The 21,911-nt window shown below is 41.4% G+C and overlaps 1 protein-coding gene and 4 non-coding genes across 5 annotated transcripts in view; all 5 read right to left on the bottom strand.

The window, feature by feature from the left end:
- The window catches only part of NOP58 (NOP58 ribonucleoprotein), a 37,899-nt gene that overhangs the window by 5,625 nt on the left and 10,363 nt on the right, over window positions 1-21,911 (bottom strand). The window contains exons 3-12 of the mRNA NM_015934.5: window positions 20,035-20,087; window positions 15,565-15,686; window positions 13,556-13,692; window positions 10,313-10,377; window positions 7,580-7,714; window positions 6,767-6,912; window positions 5,134-5,260; window positions 2,200-2,363; window positions 524-658; window positions 131-192 (exon numbers count right to left, since the gene is read on the bottom strand). Of these exons, the coding sequence (NP_057018.1) occupies window positions 131-192; window positions 524-658; window positions 2,200-2,363; window positions 5,134-5,260; window positions 6,767-6,912; window positions 7,580-7,714; window positions 10,313-10,377; window positions 13,556-13,692; window positions 15,565-15,686; window positions 20,035-20,087 (1,146 nt within the window). The remainder of the gene's footprint in view (window positions 1-130; window positions 193-523; window positions 659-2,199; window positions 2,364-5,133; window positions 5,261-6,766; window positions 6,913-7,579; window positions 7,715-10,312; window positions 10,378-13,555; window positions 13,693-15,564; window positions 15,687-20,034; window positions 20,088-21,911) is intronic.
- On the bottom strand, window positions 4,903-4,986 carry SNORD11 (small nucleolar RNA, C/D box 11). Its single transcript, NR_003031.1, has one exon. It is a non-coding gene; the product is annotated as a small nucleolar RNA, C/D box 11 (small nucleolar RNA).
- SNORD11B (small nucleolar RNA, C/D box 11B) lies at window positions 6,609-6,720 on the bottom strand. Its single transcript, NR_003694.1, has one exon. It is a non-coding gene; the product is annotated as a small nucleolar RNA, C/D box 11B (small nucleolar RNA).
- On the bottom strand, window positions 19,850-19,924 carry SNORD70B (small nucleolar RNA, C/D box 70B). Its single transcript, NR_145774.1, has one exon. It is a non-coding gene; the product is annotated as a small nucleolar RNA, C/D box 70B (small nucleolar RNA).
- Window positions 21,519-21,606, bottom strand: SNORD70 (small nucleolar RNA, C/D box 70). Its single transcript, NR_003058.1, has one exon. It is a non-coding gene; the product is annotated as a small nucleolar RNA, C/D box 70 (small nucleolar RNA).

Genomic DNA, 21,911 nt, shown 5'->3' with positions numbered 1-21,911 from the left:
CAATTTTGGTCAAATAAATAAATTTGAAAAAACTATGGGCACATCAAGGTGAAGTTTACAATAAAAAATTACTGTCAATAATTAACATTTAAAAAAACTATTCACCCCATCCTCACTTAAATGTACTCACCTTTTGTGTTCATATTTTTCTGTTTTTGCTAATGCTTTTCCTGTTCCACTTATTTTTCTTATCTAAGAAGAAAACGAAAAATTACAAATACACTTCTAAGTCATAATCTCTTTATAATACACTATACAGTCTAGTGAATCAGTGGGCCAGCAAACAGCAATTTCTGCTATTTTTTGTTTTGTTATTTTGAATAGCATATCCTAATGGCAAATGCAGTTGGATACATCAATTCTTGGTAAATAATAGCAATTGTTAACAGTAGGCACAAAAAGAATACTTTAGACATACTAATAAGTATCATAAAACTGTTTAGCAGATGAAGTTAATAAATTTACTCAGTTTATTAACTTTTGACAAGTAATACTTCTGGAATAGGCATGATGTAGTTCTTACCCCTCTGTCTTCCAAAGTTCTCAACCTGGCCTCTAATTTGGCTCTGTTCTCAACTCCCATTGCAGAACTTGAATCCTCACCAAAAGCATCATAACGGATAGCCAAAACGGTTTTGGCTGCCAGCATTCGAGAAATCTAATAGAAAAACATGAAGAACTATATTCCATGTTCAGATGTAAAATCCTCAATAACTTGGATGTTTTAAAATCAGGAGTTATAAAACTATTATGAATCATACAATTCAAATCATCCATCGTATTTCAACCTTTGCCACAATCTAATGGCCATATATCACCACCAACACTTCTGTGGCTGAAAAGATTTTACAGCAATTCATGTCAAATATTAGCTCAAACTAGGTTTTTTTAAAAAATATTTTTAAACTTTAGTTTCTACTCAGTGACATTAGTTCTGTGCTATGAGGTCACTGAAAAGAAGTGCATCTTTTTCCTCGTAACAATCTTAAATATGTGCGGGTTCTGGCCGAGCGCGGTGGCTCACGCCTGTAATCCCAGCACTTTGGGAGGCCGAGGCGAGTGGATCACGAGGTCAGGAGATCGAGACCATCCTGGCTAACACGGTGAAACCCTGTCTCTACTAAAAATACAAAAAATTAGCCAGGTGTGGTGCCGGGCGCCTGTAGTCCCAGCTACACTGGAGGCTGAGGCAGGAGAATGGCGTGAACCTGGGAGGCAGAGCTTGCAGTGAGCCGGGATGGCACCACTGCACTCCAGTCTGGGCGACAGAGTGAGACTCCATCTCAAAAAACAAACAAACAAACAAACAAACAAACAAAAAAAAGCGTGGGTTCTTTTTCAATCTAATTAACATTTTATTTTATTGAACGCTTTATTTTCCTCCACCACTCTGCTCTAAATTTTATCAATTTTCAGTTTAGATCTGTTAAACGACACATCTTTCAAAAACATTGAAAGTACTTAACTTGTCTAAGCCTCAGTTTCATCATCTGCAAGATAGAGATACCTACATCTCATAAGGCTACTGAAGATTTAGGACAGGCACAGGTGCTCACACCTGTAATCCCAGCACTCTGGGAAGCCGAGGTGGGTGGATCAGGAGGTCAGGAGTTTGAGACCAGCCTGGCCAACATGGTGAAACTGGTCTTTACTTAAAATACAAAAATTAGCCGGGCGTGGTGGCACGTGCATGTAATCCCAGCTACTCAGAAGGCTGAGGCAGGGAGGCAGGAGAATCGTTTGAACCAGGGAGCTGGAGGTTGCAGTGAGCCGAGATCAAGCCACTGCACTCTAGCCTGGCGACAGAGCGGGACTCCATCTCAAAAAAAAAAAGTTTAGTGACTTCTCTCAAAGTGTTTTAGCATAATGCATATGCTATTTTTTATGATTCGTAAATGTTAGATTTTTTTTTTGCTGCCAGAGATAGTATTTTCAGTGTGCCAACCACAGGGAGATTCTAGGGGGGAAAAAAATACTAACACAATGGAAGAAACTGGCTTTAATCCAACCAATAACAGTTTCTTCTAACCTTATCCTTCAGTGTACACAAAGCACTTTTTATTTAAATAACTCACCATTCCCTATTTAACAAGAAAGAGACAATAGAAGATTTAATGTGTACTACAGAGTAGAAGAAAAATGGGTTGTAAAAAATGAAAAAGTCTAACCTCAAAAACAAAGCAAAACCCTATAACACACCTTTCCTTTGTGTTTGGGACTTGTCTGGCCCACGAGTGAAGCATGATAAATGAGACCATACTTAGGGGTATCCCGTCTAGATTTGAGGGCTCTGAAAAGTGCCTTTTCAGCTCCAAGAATCTGAACGGTAGAAGCTGCATGCTTGGCCAAATTTAAAAGAGAACCTACAAAAGAAAAAAGTTACAAAGAATGCACCTCCAAATATATGAATGTTCCACGTACTGAAACAAAAGACCTATAGAATTATTACAGCCACCATAATAAATAAAAATCACATATAATATAGAATTCTATAATCCAGAATTCCCTAAAAATCTTGATGTTTCATTTGTAATTCCTTCATTAGCACAAGCAGGTTTGCAATGAATGCCTAGGACAAACTGAAGGCTAAGCTTATTAAGTTCAATGTTTCTATTCACCTGAGAGATGGCAGTACTATTCTAAATTCCATTAGTATACTACAGGAGTGACATAAATGTCACACACACGAACACTAATCTGGTCCCTGCTTTCTGAGATTGTATCAAATATTCTATTGCTTTAGATATGAAAAAGCCTACAAATAAACACATTTATTAGGAAGAGATATTCCTACAAGTATCTATTAATAGTCCCCTACCTGTGCTTTCACTTTGTGTGGTAAATTACCTGTGGTTAACTGCAGTCTGAAAATATTAAAAAGGAAATTCCAGAAATAAATAGTTCCTAAGTTTTAAATCTCTTGCTATCCCACTCAGCTCCCCCCAGGACATGAATCATCTCTATCTACCCATTAGTCACTTTCGTAGCCCTCTCCGTTGTGCAGTACTGCAGTGCTTATATTCAAGTAACCAATGCACAAAAATAGTTATGCTTGCATTTTTTTTTTTTTTTGAGATAGAGTTTCGCTCTGTTGCGCAGGCTGGAGTGCAGTGGCGCGATCTTGGCTCACTGCATCCTCCGCCTCCCGGGTTTAAGCAATTCTCTGCCTCAGCCTCCGAGTAGCTGGGATTACAGGCACCCACCACTACACCCAGCTAATTTTTTTTTGTATTTTTAGTAGAGATGGGGTTTCACCATCTTGGCCAGGCTGATCTTGAACTCCTGACCTCGTGATCCACCCTCCTCAGCTTCCCAAAGTGCTGGGATTACAGGCGTAAGCCACCACACCCGGCCCTGCTGGCATAGTGTTATAACTGTTATATTATGACTGTTGTTGATATCCTACTGTACCTAATTTATAAGCTAAGCTTTATTATAGATATGTATGTTTAGGAAAAAACAGCATATACAGTATAGGATTCAGTACTATCCTCTGTTTCAAACATTCTTGGAGGGGGGAGCTTAGAATACATCTCCATAAATAGCTGGGGACTATTGTTATCAACATGCTGCTTAGTTGGATATGCTGTATAGAATATTTCCTGTCAGAAAACAGACTCTATTAATACTATGAACTTAAGCACTAGACATAGTTTTAAAAGTGTAACAAATACATAGTTCTTTTTTTTTTTTTTTTTTTGAGATGGAGTTTCACTCTTGTCACCCAGGCAAGCAATGTCACCACTGCTGTGTGCAATGTCACAATCTTGGCTCACTGCAACCTCCACCTCCCGGGTTCAAGCAATTCTCCTGCCTCAGCATCCCGAGTAGCTGGGATTACAGGCTCATGCCACCAAGGTTGGGTAATTTTTGTGTTGTTAATAGAGATGGGGTTTTATTTACCATGTTGGCCAGGCTGGTCTCGAACTCCTGACCTCAGGTGACCCACCCACCTCAGCTTCTCAAAGTGCTGGGATTACAGGCGTGAGCCACCACGCCTGGCCAACAAATACATACTTCTATTAACCCCTGCCATTGCTTACTGCTACAAGTTTAGCTATACCTATGAAAATGGGTAGAGACAATGAAATCATCTGATCTTATAGCTGAGGGCATTTGAATGAAACCTTTGATTAATGATGCAGCTAAAGGAGTTACGCCAGGCCGGGCGCAGTGGCTCACGCCTGTAATCCCAACACTTTGGGAGGCTGAGGTGCGCAGATCACCTGAGGTCAGGAGTTTGAGACCAGCCTGGCCAACATGGCAAAAACCCTGTCTCAACTAAAAATATAAAAATTAGCCAGGCATGGTGGCAGCACATGCCTGTAATCCCAGCAACTTGGGAGCCTGAGGCAGGAGAATTGCTTGAACCTGGGAGGCAGAGGTTGCAGTGAGCCACTGCACTCCAGCCAGTGCAACAGAGTGAAACTCTGTCTCAAACAAAAAAAAAGGAGTTATGCCATTTTAAACACTCTGATGCAGATGATATAATCTTTTTTGATGAATTATAACAATGTCTCCAAGTAACATAAAAATGATGAATCAGTACTTCATTGTATTTGTAGGTATTCAATTACATAGCATTTTAATTATAGCATATCATCCTTATAATACTGCCATACACATATACAAAGTTTTATTATAAATCAGTTGTTGAAAATATTTTTGAAAGTCAAATATATTACATCCTCACACTCAATAGTGAAACTAAGGTAATCAATCAAGGGCACAAATCCTCTACAGTGATTTCTTTTTTTTTTCTTTCTCTACAGTGATTTCTTAAAACTGTATTCAAATCTAGGTCTAGTGAGTTTTTATTATGAAAATGTTAACTGTTTTATCCTCCTGCATTCATCCGATTGTTCTAATTAACCCTAACAAACTTCTAACAATGGACCACAAGTGTCTCAGAAGAGGTAGTGACTAAAGATGCCTTCATTATCCAAAAGGAAATCAGGCAAACAAATAGAAATCATCATTGAACACTTGGCCCTTAGTGATCTCCCACATATCATCTACTTTTGTGTTATCAGCTAAAATTTCTTTAACAGCTGTAGTTTAAAGATGTAAACAAAATCCTAACCAGAAAATACTTCAAACACTCATATTTACAAATTACATTAAAACCATCACCTGCATGAGCAATAAGCCGTGCTCCAACTAATTCCCCAACCATGACTGTAACATTGGGTGCAATGGCCATCATTCGATTTTGTAGATATTCATAGAGCTGGGTTCGATATTCAGAGATTTCAATCACCTAGTATAAGGAATAAAGTTAAGTCACAAATATCATATGAGTAAAAACAGTAAAAATTCCTGTCTAAAACACTGGAGCCCTCAATTATGAAAGAGCAGCTACACAACCCTGGGTACTGGGTACATCACCTATGCCTAACATCAGTTTTCTTTTTTTTTTTTCCCAGGCTGGAGCGCAGTGGCGCAATCTCAGCTCACAGCAATCTCCGCCTCCCGGGCTCAAGTGATTCTCCTGCCTCAGCCTCTGGAGTAGCTGGGACTACAGGGGCCCGCCACCACGCCCAGCTAATTTTTTGTATTTTTAGTAGAGACAGGGTTTCACCATGTTGGCCAGTATGGTCTCTATCTCTTGACCTCATGATCCTAACATCAGTTTTCTATAAGATGGCTGTAATGAGGACTTCGTTATATAATGTATGTAAACTACTTGGTCCACTGCCTGAAAATCTTAGTCAGCGTAACTGTATTTTTAAAAGATTCTAAGCAGCCCAGGCACAGTGACTCACACCTGTAATTCCAGCACTTTGGGAGGTCGAGGCAGGTGGATCATGAGGTCAGGAGTTCAAGACCATCCTGGCCAACATGGTGAAACCCCGTCTCTATGAAAAATACAAAAATTAGCTGGGCATGGTGGCACGTGCTTGTAATCCCAGCTACTCGGGAGGCTGAGGCAGGAGAACCGCTTGAACTGGGACCTGGGAGGCAGAGGTAGCAGTGAGCCTGAGAACGTGCCACTGCACTCCAGCCTGGGCTACAGGGTGAGACTCTGTCTCAAAAAAAAAAAAAAAAAAAAAAAAAAAAAAAAAAAAGATTCTGAGCAATAAACATTTGTATCATGCTCTTTTTAATTCCTATATGGCTACCTTCAAATCTGAAAGAAAAAAAAATCACAAGATATAGACATAAGACTCAGAATTAAAAGGCTCAATCCATAATTGTCTGCCATCCTTTTTTTTTTTTTTTTTTTTTTTGAGATGGAGTTTTGCTCTTGTTGCCCAGGCTGGATGCAATGGTGCCATCTCGGCTCACTGCAACCTCCCCCTCCCTGGTTCAAGCGATTCTCCTGTCTCAGCCTCCCGAGTAGCTGGGATTACAGGTGTACGCCACCACGCGCAGCTAATTTTTGCATTTTTAGTAGAGATGGGGGTTTCATCATATTGGTCAGGCTGGTCTCGAACTCCTGACCTCAGGTCAATCCCTGACTCGGCCTTCCAAAGTGCGGGGATTACAGGCGTGAGCCAACGCGCCTGGCCTTCTCTGCCATCTTAATTGATTTTTGGTTAATTCATTATTCAGACGATGATTGTAAATTACTTCCTTTTAATATGTATTTCCCCCTTTTAAGTATACAAATCATGATGGCATCAGATGAGGTAGTGACTGAACACCCTCATATTTATGTTATCAGGTGAACAACAATAAGTGTAAAAATCATCATTGCCATCAGAAAAATTAGTACTATAGAGCTGGTAACACCACAACTAGATTCTCCAGGAGTAAAATTTACCTGGGTGCAAAGATGCAGAATATTGCAAATATCTTCTTCTGAAACCTCTGTTCCCATTGATATCTCTGCAGCTGCTTTCACTTCTGCTTCAACTTCTTCTGGCAGCAACTCAGAAAGCTTGGCAGAGGCATAGTTCTTCCTATCGCCTATGGAATGTTTGCAGAGGATGAGGGAGAATCACTCTTCAACAAATTATATAAAATCCAGCAAATAGTCAAAAGAAAAAGTAGAAAGCCAATGAAAAGGATGCCTAAACAAAACAAAAAAAATGAAGAAGTTTGACCTAGTATAACAGTTTTCCTCATTTAAGGGTTTAAGTTTAGACATTAAATGTCTCCCCACCACCTTCTTCCAAAAAATAATCAGAGTAAAAAGAGGACAAAATATGCCACAACACTTATTACAGAATATAAGTGGCAAAAATTTAAAAAAGACAGGACTAATAATAATGTCACAGACAATTTTATACTGAAGCTGGGGCCAGTAATTCGTAAGGCAAGTAAACCATCAATCAATCAAGTTCCTCTGTACGTTAACGACAATCAACAATCAAGTTCCTCTGTATATTAACAGTACAGACGGCAATACTGCTATTTAGCATTAGGTACTAATATCATGTTATAGGCCATCAAAATCTAAGTTAAAATTCATTTTGTTTCTTAAATTTAAGACACTAAACTGCTACACTTCCCAAATACACAGAAATTGCAAAAACCCTGGGAATCTTGCTTAACAAAATGCTATACGTCATGTTTTAGGATGCAATCAAATTCATTTACTTTCAATGCCTTAAAGGATGAACAAATTACTCACCAACTTTCTGTAAACACTTGCAGTATGTTAAATTATCTGAAATAATTTTTCCTAATTCAGGGAAATGCCAGCCATACCATTCTCTACATCGCATAATGTAGTTGTTTAGTTCTTTATCCAAGTCATCTAACAAGGCTGTAGTAGATTAAAAACAAACAAACAAAACTTAAAGGGATTTATTGTGGTAAAACATACACAACATAAAATTTAACACTTCAGGCTGGGCACGGTGGCTCATGTCTGTAATCCCAGCAGACAGGCATATCACGAAGTCAGAAGTTCAAGACCAGCCTGGCCAACATGGTGAAACCCCATCTCTATTAAAAATACAAAAATTAGCCAGGCATGGTGGTGCACACCTGTAGTCCCAGCTACTCTGGAGGGCTGAGGCAGAAGAATCACTTGAACACAGGAGGTGGAGGTTGTAGTGAGCCGAGATCGTGCTACTGCATTCCAGCCTGGGTGACAGAGCAAGATTCCGTCGCAAAAAATTTAAAAAAAAAAGAATAAAAAATAACACTTCAACCATTTTCAAGTGTACTATTCAGTAGCATTAAGTATTCTTATGATGTTATGCAACCATTACCAGGATCTATTGCCAGAGCAATTTTATCATCAGAAACTGAAAAATTCTGTACCCATTAAACAGTAACTCATTCCCACCTTCCCCCCAACCTCTAGTTATCTTTATACTTCTGTCTCTGAGTTCACCTATTTTAGGTACTTCATATAAGCAGAATCATGCAGTATTTTGTGACTATTTCACTTAGCATATTTTCAAGGTTTATCATGTTGAAATATGTATCAGAATTTCATTTCTTTTTAAGGCTGACTAACATTCCACTGTGTGAAGTGGCTGGGTGTACGTTACCCAAAATGCTTGGGACCAGAAGTATTTCAGAGTATTTGCAAACACGTATGAGGCTGAGGATGGAACTCGAAGTCTAAATAGGAAATGCATCTACATTTCACATATACCTTATATACAAAACCTTGAAGGTAATTTTACACAATATTTTAAATAATTTTGTGCATAAAACAAAGTTTTGACGTGTGGTCAGGTGTGGAGTTTTCCACTTGTGGATTTGTGTGGTACCACAAAAAGTTTTAGATTTCAGAGCATTTTGAATTTCAGATTAGGGACATTCAAGCTGCATCCACAATGCAGTTTATCCATTCATCTGTTAAAAGGTATCTGGGTTGTTTCCACTGTTTGGTTTTGTAAATAACACTGTTATGAACATAGGTGTACAAGCAACTCAGTTCTGTTTTTAATTCTTTTGGGTATAAATCTAGGAAAGGAATCGCTGGTTGAGCGCTTTTTTTTTTCTTTTTTTGGAGACAGAGTCTAACTCCATCACCCAGGATGGAGTGCAGTGGTGCGATCTCAGCTCACTGCAACCTCTGCTTCCTGGGTTCAAGTGATTCTCCTTCCTCAGCCTCCTAAGTGGCTGGGACTATAGGCACACGCCACCTCGACTGGCTACTTTTTTGTATTTTTAGTAAAGACAGGGTTTCGCCATGTTAGCCAGGCTGCTCTCAAACTCCCGAGCTCAGGCAATTCACCCGCCTTGGCCTCCCAATGTGCTAGGATTACAGGTGTGAGCCACTGCGCCCAGCCGAATACTTTGTTTTTTTTTTTGAGACGGAGTGTTGCTCATGTTGTCCAAGCTAGAGTGAAATGGTGCGATCTCGGCCCACTGCAACCTCCGCCTCTCAGGTTCAAGTGATTCTCCTGCCTCAGCCTCCTGAATAGCTGAGATTACAGGCGCCTACCATCATGCTCAGATAATTTTTTTATTTTTTACTAAAGATCGGGTTTCACCATGTTGGCCTGATCTCGAACTCCTGACCTCAGGTGATCCACCAGCCTCTGCCTCCCAAAGTGTTGGGATTACAGGCGTGAGCCACGGCCGAATGCATTTCTAAAATAGAAAAACGATTAAGATTTTGATTTTTTTTTTTTTTTTTTAGTGAGATGGAGATTTGCTCTTGTTGCCCAGGCTGGAGTGCAATGGCACGATCAACTCACTACAACCTCTGCCTCCAGGGTTCAAGTGATTCTCCTGCCTCAGCCTCCCGAGTAGCTGAGATTACAGGCATGCACCACCATGCCTGGTTAATTTTGTATTTTTAGTAGAGACGGGATTTCTCCATGTTGGTCAGGCTGGTCTCAAATTCCCGACCTCAGGTGATCCTCCCGCCTCAGCCTCTCAAAGTGCTGGGATTACAGGCATGAGCCACTGTGCCTGGCAGCTTTTGAGCTTTCTAAAAACCATTTAATGACACAGCAGAATACACAACTACAAAGATTGCACTTATGTTTTTAACATTTTCATGGAAAAATACAAATGAATTAATTAACGTAATGTTAATTCTGTGATTCATATAATCTCCAAATAGTCAACCTCCGCCTCCTGGGTTCAAGCAATTATCCTGCCTCAGCCTCCTGAGTAGCTGGGATTATAGGTACACGCCACCATGCACATTTAATTTTTTTTGTATTTTTAGTAAAGACAGAGTTTTGTCATGTTGGCCAAGCTGGTCTTGAACTCCTGACCTCAGGTGATCCGCCTGCCTCAGCCTCCCAAGTGCTGGGATTAAAGGCTTGAGCCACCACACCTGGCCTCCTTTCTCTTTCTCAACAGACAGAATCATAAAAGATAGTTTCAACAGTATGAAAACGCATGAAGGACAGAGCAACAAATCGGACTTTGCATGTACTATACTTACAAATTGCCTGAACAATCATTGTGTCTACTTTATCAGCGCTAAACTTCAATCTATATCGAGACAGGCTGGGAAGAAAGGGGAAAATAAATTAGCAAGATAGCATCTAGGAAAAGCATTTAAATTAACACCTTAAAGTTTTTTTTTGTTTTTGTTTTTACTCAAATCAGCCTGTAGTCAGAGCTGTAATTGGTTTTTCTAAGAAGAAAAATCAGCTAAGTAGAAATGCACCATACGAGAACAGAAAATACACATTAAAAAAAAAAACTATATGTGCTGCTACGACCTTTATTTCTGTAACATGAATGAGTTTATGTATGAATGACAAATAGGATAAGCTGTGTAATACAAAAGTCATATTGGACTGGGCGTGGTGGCTCACGCTTGTAATCCTAGCACTTTGGGAGGCCGAGGTGGGCAGATCACCTGTTAGGAGTTCGAGACCAACCTGGCCAACATGGCGAAACCCTGTCTCTACTAAAAATATAAAAATTAGCCAGGCATGGTGGGGCACGCCTGAATCTCAGCTACTCTGGAGGCTGAGGCAGGAGAATCGCTTGAACCGGGGAGGCAGAGGTTGCAGTGAGCCGAGATCACGTGCCACTGTACTCCAGCCTGGGCAACAAAGCAAGACTCCGCCTCAAAAAAAAAAAAAAAAAAAAAGCCATATTGGTTCATGCAATTTTTAATAGCACATATTAAGCTTTATACTACCAGTTAGGAACTTTGCAGGACTCTTAACATCTGAAAACAGAAAGCTGTGGAGTAACAATATTGTCTGTATAAAAATGTTTTTTCATCTCAGCACAATTAATATTTTGGGCCTAATTCCTTGTTGTACAGGCTGCCCTGTGCATTATAGGACCTTTAGCAGTATCCCTAACTTTTATCCACCAGATACTCATGGCAGACCCCAACCCACCTCCAATTGTGACAACCAAAAATGTCTATGGACATAGACAAATGCCTACTGGGGGGACATCTGATTGCCCTTGATAGGGAACCACTGCTATACACAATGCAGATTTACCCAGGTTTGGATTTTTGACTCAGTTTCACTATTTGTTCTCTCTTAGAAATGCTTATTACAAAGCTCTCCCTAACCTTTGTGCATTTTTGCTCTTAACTCTAGCTTAGCAGCTTCAACCCTTTCAATCTATGCCCACCTTTTAATTTTAAAATAGACCTTTTTAAATTGTAGTGTTTCTTTTTTGTTTTGTTTTGAGACGGAGTCTTACTCTGTCACCCAGGCTGGAGTGCAGTGGAGCAATCTCCACTCACTGCAAGCTCCACCTCCCGGGTTCACGCCATTCTCCTGCCTCAGCCTCCCGAGTAGCTGGGACTACAGGCGCCCGCCACCATGCCTGGCTAATTTTTTTGTATTTTTAGTAGAGACGGGGTTTCACTGTGTTAACCAGGATGGTCTCGATCTCCTGACCTCATGATTCACCTGCCTCAGCCTCGCAAAGTGCTGGGATGTATTACAGGCGTGAGCCACTGCGCCTGGCCTATAGTGTTTCTTTCTCCCTTTTTTTTTTTTTTTTTTGAGATGGAGTCTCACTCTGTCACCCAGGCTGGACTGCAGTGGAGCGATCTCCACTCACTGCAAGCTCTGCCTCCCGGGTTCACGCCATTCTCCTGCCTCAGCCTCCCAAGTAGCTGGGACTACAGGCGCCCGCCACTGTGCCCGGCTAATTTTTTGTATTTTTAGTAGAGACGAGGTTTCACCGTGGTCTCGATCTCCTGACCTTGTGATCTGCCTGCCTTGGCCTCCCAAAGTGTTGGGATTACAGGCGTGAGCCACCGTGCCCAGCCTGTAGTGTTTCTTTTAATATTAGCTTAAAATGTCTTTTGAACTGTGGTAATAATTTTATTAGGATTACTATTTGACAGTACTGATTACAAAGTTGCACAGGTTTTGAGCAACTACCTACCATTATTTTCTTCACAACCCTGTTAACTGTAGTGCAATTCCAAAGTATTAAGCTTTTCATGAACAGATGTATCACAACATAGCAATAATGCCTATTCTAAGGGACTTCTAATGAAATATGATAGGGTTAACATGCAATTAAAAATAGGGAGAAGACTGGGCATGGTGGCTCACCCCTGCAGTCGCGGCACTTTGGGAGGCTAAGGCAAGTGGATCACTTGAGCCTGGGAGTTCCAGCCTGGGCAGCATGGCAAAACCCCGTCTCTACAAAAAGTTAAAAAATCAGCCAGGGATGGTGGCGCACACTTGCAGTCCCAGCTACTTGGGAGGCTGAGGTGGCATTGTTTGAGTCCAGGATGTCCAGGTTGCAGTGAGCCAAGATCGCACCACTGCACCCCAGCCTGAGCAACAGAGTGAGACCCTGACTCAAAAAAAAAAAAAAAAAAAAAAAAATGCCGGGTGTGGTGGCTCATGCCTATAATCCCAGCACTTTGGAAGGCCAAGGCGGATGGATCATTTGAGGTCAGGAGTTCAAGATCAGCCAGGCCAACATGGTGAAAGCCCGTCTCTACTAAAAATACAAAAATTAGTTGGGCAGTAGTGGTGCACGCTTGTAATCCTAGCTACTCGGAGGCTGAGGCAAGAAAATCACTTGAGCCTGGGAGGCAGGGGCTGCAGTGAGCAGAGATCACGCCACTGCACTCCAGTCTGGGCGACAGAGTGAGAATCTGCCTCAAAAAAAACAAAACAAAAACAAAACAAACAAAAAAACACAGAGAGAGACATATTTCTTGCTATGTTGCTCAGGCTAGTCTCAAACTCCTGGTCTCCCAAAGAGTTGGGATTACAGGGGTGAGCCACTGCACCTAGTCCTCTTTGCCTTATTAAAAATCAGAGTAAAGCAATGAAAACACAAATACACACCTATCCCATAAGACCATAGCAGATGAGAGAATTTGGGGGAATACTAAGTAGATGGAGGAGTGGCATGACTTAGCAGAGATAAAGGAGGGAAAGCCCAAGAAACAGGGCATCCAAGATCAGAGTAGTAGAGAATTCCTTTGATGAGGTTTTAAGGTTTTAAGAATCCAGACAATAGAGCCAGACTGCCTGGGTTCAAATCCTGGCTTTACCACTTACCAGCTGTATTGACCTTGGGCTTCAGTTTCATCTGTAAATGAGGATATTACTATCATCTTCTTCATAAGGTTCTGATGTGGTTCAAATGAGCATTTGTAACATTCTTAGAACAGATCTATGTTAAGCGCTTATCAAATAAAAGTAAGTTGACTTTATTTTCCAGTAATTCTCACCTGTGAGCCAATCCAAGACACATAGCTGCCATTTCACGTGGTTCTACCCCAGGGATTAATCCATCCATTTGTGAACGAATTCCTCTCATAAGTTCATTAACAACAGGACTATGGATACAACTGAGATTCAGCTTTTCCTACAAGAACATGAACATCTATATTAAATTAAAAAAAAAAAGACTTTCCTGAAGTTGTTATTATTATTTTTTGAGACACAGTATCACTCTGTCGCCCAGGCTGGAGTGCAGTGGCGCAATCTTGGCTCACTACAACCTCCGCCTCCTGGGTTCAAGAGATTCTCCTGTCTCGGCCTGGGATTATTGCAGGCATGAGCCACCATGCCCAGCTAATTTTGTATTTTTAGTAGAGACGGGGTTTCACCATGTTGTACAGGCTGGTCTCAAACTCCTGACCTCAAGTGATCCGCCCGCCTCATCTTCCCAAAGTGCTGGGATTACAGGCATGAGCCACCGCGCCCAGCCTGAAATTATTTCCTAAATATTAAAGTGGCACTAATTTAAATATACGCATTTCTCAGTTGGACAAGAAGCATAATTTCCAGTGTGTTTGTAGAATACTTGACTGTATCACTGGTGGAAGTAAAAACTGATACAAGCTTCCAGAAGACAGCTTGGCTATATAAATTAAAAGCTATAAAAAGATTAATATAATTTGACCAAGTAGTTGGTTTAAGGAGATCTTTTACTACCTGTTATTTAGCTTCTTTTTAAAATTACAGGTTATGCCAGGCGCGGTGGCTCACGCCTGTAATCCCAGCACTTTGGGAGGCCGAGGCGGGTGGATCACAAGGTCAATAGATCGAGACCATCTTGGCCAACATGATGAAACCCCGTCTCTACTAAAAATACAAAAATTAGCCGGGTGTGGTGGCAGGTGCCTATAGTCCCAGCTACTCGGGAGGCTGAGGCAGGAGAATCACTTCAACCCAGGAGGCGGAGGTTGCAGTGAGCCAAGACTGAGCCAATGCACTTCAGCCTAGCGACAGAGTGAGACTCCGTCTTAAAAAAAAAAAAAAATTACAGGTTGGGCGTGGTGGCACATGCCTGTAATCCTAGCACTTTGGGAGGCCAGGGCGTGTTGGCGGGCGTCTGTAATCCCAGCTACTTGGAAGGCTAAGGCAGGGGAATCCCTTGAACCCGGGAGGCAGAGGTTGCAGTGAGCCGAGATCATGCCACTGCACTCTAGCCAGGGCAACAGAGTGAGACTCTGTCTCAAATAAATGAAATAAAATAAAATAAAATAATTAGCCAGCATGGTGGCATGTGCCTGTAGTCCCAGCTACTGAAGAGGGAGGATTGCTTGAGAACAGGAGGTCAAGTCTGCAGTGAGCTGTGAGACTGCGCCACTGCACTCCCAATTAGCTGGGACTACAGGCGCCTGCCACCACACCCGGTTAATTTTCTGTATTTTCAGTAGAGACAGGGTTTCACTGTGTTAGCCAGGATGGTCTCGATCTGCTGACCTCGTGATACTCCTACCTTGGCCTCCCAAAATGCTGGGATTATTATAGGTGTGAGCCACCGCGCCCCGCCCGAATTGTTCTGCTTTCTGTATTTGGGAGGCTATTTTCCTAGTCTTTCTTTCCACTCTCACATTTTATTTCATCTCCAGCAATACACCCCTACTAAAAGTTTTCTAATAAATATATTTCTAAAAAATATAAGGACCCCATTTTCGTTGGAAAAAAATGTGGCTAGACAAAAATATGGCATGATATACATAGAACATTAACATTATATATGGGTAGCAGATTTGTTAAAGTCAATTTTTATCATTTTTTGTTCTTCTATATCTTCTAGAACAAATAGGTATTACTTATTTGCTCAGTTCAGCTGATGTTAGGGGAAATCCATTATCATGTAGCTTAGAGAAAAGAAAAAAATGTATTGAGAATTTATGATAAGCAACTTATTGCAAAGGCTAGGCTTTGTAGTTGGTATGCTGTGAGATCTGACTAGCAGGCATGACCAAAAATATCGTGACTTTACCTTTATGACCCCTCCTAGTTTAGCATCAGCTACTGCCAGCGGTTCATGGGCTTCTTTTACTATTTTCTTCAGAACTTTTTTCAGCTGCTTATTGATTTTGCCCTCCATCAGAGCTGTGAATGCTTTTCAAGAAAAAGAAAAACAAAAGCATTAACTCTCAAATTTTTAACTTTGAGACCTTGCCCTAGTTGACACTTAAAAAAATAAAATAGGCCTTTCAAAGGGCTTGAATTTAATGTTACTTCTGAAATGAAATGATATATGTTTTATAAGTTACATGTTTCACAATTTCATTTGATCTTCCCACCCTCATTTTTGCTACAGAGCCAGGGGTAAAATCAGGTCCAGGGTTTCTTTCCTTCTCACAAGAATCTTCTCATGAACTCAAGGGAGAATCATGAAATCTTAGAAACAATCTTTTTGGGAAGACAAAACAGACTCACTTTCCTTTGTCATTTCAAATAGACTGTCCTGAAATATCCTAAAATCACATCAAAACTAGTAAAAATGAGTGTAATCATTTTCAAAGTTCTGCCATAATATAAACATGTTTGAGTGAAGGCCTTAGCTTTGCTTGTATCTCCACTTGTACACCTCCAGCAATGTAAAACTTAGTAGCAAAGGCTGCCTATTCTATTTTGAGACCGCTGGTATTTCTGGCAAGTTCTAAATCAGCTGCTTTATATTTCTCACCCTTCCTTAGACCTATATTCCCTTTTTCTGGACCCACACGAACTAATACCTCTTCTGAAATTTATCTGACATTTGACTGAGGTAAAAGTATGCTTGGGTTACCCAGGCATGGTGGTGTGTACCACCAGCCTGGCCAACACGGCGAAACCCTGTCTCTACTAAAAATACAAAAATTAGCTGGGTGTGGTGGCATGTGCCTGTAGTCCAGCTACTGGGGAGGCTGAGCTGGGACAATCACCTGAGCCCAGGGAGTTCAAGGCTGCAGTGAGTCATGATCATGCCGCTGTACTCCAGCAGCCTGGTGACAGACCCTGTCTCAACAAAACAAAAACAAAAAACATAAAAAGTATGCTTGGGCTGCGCGTGGTGGCTCAAGTCTGTAATCCCAGCACTTTGGGAGGCTGAGGCTGGCAGATCACCTAAGGTCAGGAGTTCGAGAGACCAGCCTGGCTAACATGACGAAACACTCTACTAAAAATACAAAAATTAGCTGGCCCTGGTGGCTCACGCCTGTAATCCTAGCTACTCGGGAGGCTGAGGTAGGAGAATCGCTTGAACCCAGAGGTGGAGGTTAAAGTGATACCGTGACATTGCACTCCAGCCTAAGTGACAAGAGCAAAACTCCATCTAAAAAAAAAAAAAGAAAAAGAAAAAGAAAAGAAAAATGCTTGGCAGGAATGAAGGTCTATCAACAATTTCCAAGGTCAGGCAGTTTGTGCTTAATAAGTCAGGTCTTGCTCTTCCCTCCTGATCGTATATCCATTCGAATTATGATCAAATGGATAATCCCAGCACTTCAGGAGGCTGAGGTGAGCGGGTCACGAGGTCAGGAGATGCGACCATCCTAGGCAACATGGTGAAACCCCATCTCTGCTAAAAATACAAAAATTAGGTGAGCGTGGTGGCATGAGCCTGTAATCCCAGCTACTCAGGAGGCAGAGACTACAGTGAGCTGGGATCGCGCCCCTGTACTCCAGCCGAAGATCAGTATCAAAAAAAAAAAAAAAAAGACTTGCAAGTTGAAAACACAATCAAGAATAAAAATAAACCACTTCATGCAAATAGCATATATGAATGTCTGAGACCAATACAAATTCAACATCACACCCCAACAGACCCTATTTCTTTATTTAAAAAAAAAAAATGATGGCCAGGCACGGTGGCTCATGCTTGTAATCCCAGCACTTTGGGAGGCCAAGGCGGGTGGATCACCTGAGGTCAGGAGTTCCAGAGCAGCCTGGCCAACAGGCAAAACCCCGTCTCTACTAAAAAATACAAAAATTAGCTGGACATGGTGGTATCACCTGTAATCTCAGCTACTTTGGAGGCTGAACCCAGCCTCCTGGGAGAATTACTTGAACTCAGGAGGTGGAGACTGCAGTGAGCCGAGATCATGCCACTGCACTCCAGCCTGGGTGACAAAATGAAACTCCATCTCCAAAAAAAAAAAAATCTTTTTTGAGAGGGGGTCTTGCTATATTGCCCAGGCTGATCTTAAATTCCTGCCCATCTTAGCCCCTCAAAGTGTTGGGATTACAGGTGTTAGTCACTGTGCCTGGTCTCATCAAACTCTAAGGCTATGAGGTTTAAAATGTACACTGTGACATTTACAGCCATTTAGTTGTGGTTCTGTCATGTCAAAACTGCCTTATAATAGGCAGTGAGAACTGAATTCCCAGGGGAAGGATTCTGCTTTCTTAATTAGCTGATGTTCATTTAACTTTCTGGTGAAAACAGATAGGAAAAGGCATTGTAAATGTTTCTATGACAGCATTCCTGATAAAATTCACTATTTTCATTCATTTTCCCCAAAATATTTATTATAAACCTTCTATAGCTGTATACTTTGCTAGCGTCTAGGAATTTGACAGTACAGAACAGTCTCTGCCCTCATGGAGCTTAGACTGGGGGGAATTGACTTTAAATTCTCAACTACTATGGCATTTTGTCCATTTACTGTACACTACTTAATTTTATGTTATTTTCCAGAAGGAGTCTCGCTCTGTTGCCCAGGCTGGAGTGCAGTGGTGCAATCTTGGCTCAGTGCTATCTCTGCCTACCAGGTTCAAGTGTTTCTCCTGCCTCAGCCTCCCGAGTAGCTGGGACTAAGGTGTGTGCCACCACACCCGGCTAATTTTTGTAATTTCAGTAGAGACGAGGTTTCACCATGTTGGCCAGGCTGATCTTGAACTGACCTCAGGTGATCCGCCTGTCTTGGCCTCCCAAAGTGCTGGGATTCCTGGCATGAGCCACCGCACCCAGCCTTATTGTACATTATTTTAAATAATACAAAGAAGCTAGGTAAATGAATCTGGAAATACTGCTTAAATTTCAAGTTTTATCATCTGTAACATAGAGATGATGGTTATCTGCCTCACAGGATTCAAGAATTAAATAACAATTATGAAATCATAAGCATAAATCTGACAATCAGTATGTGCTCAATATATTAGGTATTAATAGTAAAAACCTGCTTGTTTGAGCAAAAGCTTGGCTTGTCCATTTAATACAGTTTAATAAGGACTGGCCAGATATATCCCAAGCAGATTAAAGATCGTATGCAAAAAGGAATTCAGAAGAGGCTACTTGAGATCAGGACTAGGAACTGTTCATATCCCAGTCTATGTCAACAACACCCCCTAGAGTTTGAATACAGCTAACACAATCTTGCTTGGAATCTTACCAAATGTTTACCCATACTTAAAAGCTGTGATGAACAGGCTATCTTTTTAAAAATTCTCCAAGTTAATATTACCACAGTTTTTTTTATGGCTGTATATAACTCTAATTACTGAAGAGTTGGTGAAGCAGCCCTAGAACTATGTTTATAAAACAAAGAAACTGGCCCTATGGGTCTTCCTTCAGCCTACCCCTCTGCCAAGGTTAGGGTGGTCTGTTATGTTCCAGCATGTTTAGTTGGATTCCAAATTTTCAGACAAAAACTGTACCTTTCTCCTGTGGTTATTTAACAAAATTTTTTGCATCTGTCATATTCTTGCCCAGCTTTAAGCCATATTCTTCCTCACGGTCCTTCATTTTCAAACTACACCGCCAAATAGTTGGCTGATTTGTGATAAAGAATTCAGGCAGTTGAAAATTTAATGATTTGGGCTTTATATCTGCTCTTCCTGTTTTCCCTAACACTTAAAAAAACAAAACTGTAAGACCTACTGCAGTCAATTACAGTAAATAAACCCGATCACTCTGTTGTCCCGTGATGAAATCTAGTTGAAGAGTATGAGTCATCCATTCTTCTGAATCTTTTAAAAATAACACCTCTGTCAGTTTCTGTATAACTCTGAATATTGATATGTTTTTTTGAACTAAAAATCTATACCCCCAGAAGAGCTTTTTAAATTATTTTTCAACTGTGAATCCTGGCTGTTCTCAGGATTACAACTCTACCCTTGGATTAAAATGAGGAGAGAGCTGTATACTTGACCACATTACCTTGGTCCCTTGTAGAACACCTTTTACTGAATTGTGCTTCAGCATTATGTTGCTGGTTTCCACAGGGAGATCAACTTAACCACTTCTCACCTCTCCTCACACATGGGGAAAACCAGCCCTATGGTGAAAAAAGCTAACTCAATGTTGTCTCAGTGGTAGTGACGAATGAGTCAGATCACTTAAATTCAGTTCCAATAAGAATGCATCATTGACAACATTGAATAAGGTTAACACAGGCAACTGAAGCAAACAACCTTTTAAACAAGAAAAACAAACGGCTAAGACTTAATTTTTTCAAAAAAGCAAGCTTCTAATTTTTTACTTTACCTGCTAATGCTTCTGCTGTATCCTGAAATTTCTCAAAATGTTTTAGCTTTACTCTAGAATTAAAAAAAAAAGAGATAAACATGTTATTGGGGGCAGTGCGTTGATTCAAAAGCCACATAACTTGGAAAGAAGTGCTTGACTGTTTCCAAAGCACACACCAATAAAACATGCCTACCATTGTGTATCAGGGTGTGAAGTTAGATATTCTTCATACAATTACTAGTTTTTCTAAATGTTAGGCTAGTAATGCTTGGATTATTAAAAGAAAGTTGTAGGCTTTGGAGGAAATTTTGGCCAAGAGTAAAGATGTTGAAGCTTTAATACAAACCCCTGTTGCATAAAGCTGTACAGAGATGACTTTATTATACAGCATAGAATTGACTCAAGAAAACGTACGTGAGTCCTTTTTAGGAATCTCATGATATTCATTTGTCTATCCTGTACAAATGCCATTAAAAAAAATAGCTTATTGTCAGGTCTCATTCTTGTTACATCCTAACCCTTTATGGTTTTTTGTTTTTTTTTTTGAGACAGAATCTCACTGTCACCCACGCTGGAGTGCAGTGGTGCGATCTCGGCTCACTGCAACCTCTGCCTCCCGGATTCAAGCAATTCTCCTGCCTCAGACTCCCAAGTAGCTGGGATTACAGGCATGTGCCTGTGCCACCATGCCTGGCTAGTTTTTGTTTTTTTTTTTTGAGACAGAGTCTCACTCTGTCGCCCAGGCTGGAGTGCAGTGGCGCAATCTCGGCTCACTGCAAACTCCACCTCCCAGGTTCATGCCATTCTCCTGCCTCATGCCATTCTCCTGCCTCAGCCTCCCAAGTAGCTGGGACTACAGGCACCCGCCACCACACCTGGCTAATTTTTTGTATTTTTCGTAGAGACGGGGTTTCACCGTGTTAGCCAGGATGGTCTCCATCTCCTGACCTCATCATCCGCCCGCCTTGGCCTCCCAAAGTGCTGGGATTACAGGCGTGAGCCACCGTGCCCAGCCCCCATGGCTGGCTAATTTTTTTGTATTTTTTAGTAGAGAAGAGGTTTCACCATATTGGCCAGGCTGGTCTCAAACTCCTGACCTTGTGATCCACCCACCTCGACCTCCCAAAGTGCTGGGATTACAAGCGTGAGCCACCGTGCCCGGCCCCCTTTATGTTTTTGAGACAGGGTCTCACTTCACTCTGTCACCCAGGCTGGAATGCAGTGGTGCAATCACAGCTCACTGCAGCCCTGACTTCCCGAGCTCAAAGGATCTTCCAGCCTCAGTCTCCCAAGCAGCTAGGACTATAGGTGTGCACCACCACACCCAGCTAATTTTTGTTTTTGGTAGAGATGGGGTTTTCCTATATTGCCCAGGCTGGTCTTGAACTCCTGGGCTCAACTGATCCGCCTGCCTTGGCCTCCCAAAATGCTGGGATTACAGGTGTGAGCCATCACGCCCAGCCTCAGGGTAGTATTTTATCCAGAAAGAAACATATAGTTGATTCATCGTTGTCTCAGTGGTAGTGACGAATATTGAGTCAGATCACTTAGATTCAGTTCCAAGAAGAATACATCATTGACAACAACGAATCAGATTAACCCAACAAAGCATATAACCCTTTAAGAAGGAAAACTAGTCTTCTAGTTGCCTAAAACAGTGTCATCTTTTTTTTTTTTTTTGGAGACAGGGTCTCACTCTGACACCCAGACTGGAGTGCAGTGGCGCAATCTCGGCTCACTGCAACTTCCGCCTCCCAGGCTCAAGGGATTTTCCTGCCTCAGCTTCCTCCCAGTAGCTGGGATTACAGGCATGTGCCACCACGCCCGGCTAATTTTGTGTTTTTAGGAGAGAGGGGGTTTCACCATGTTGGCCAGGCTGGTCTCGAGCTCCTGAC

This window comes from Homo sapiens, chromosome 2, assembly GCF_000001405.40.
Source record: "Homo sapiens chromosome 2, GRCh38.p14 Primary Assembly".
NCBI classification, from domain to species: Eukaryota; Metazoa; Chordata; class Mammalia; order Primates; family Hominidae; genus Homo; species Homo sapiens.
This window is presented reverse-complemented; position numbering and strand designations above follow the sequence as displayed.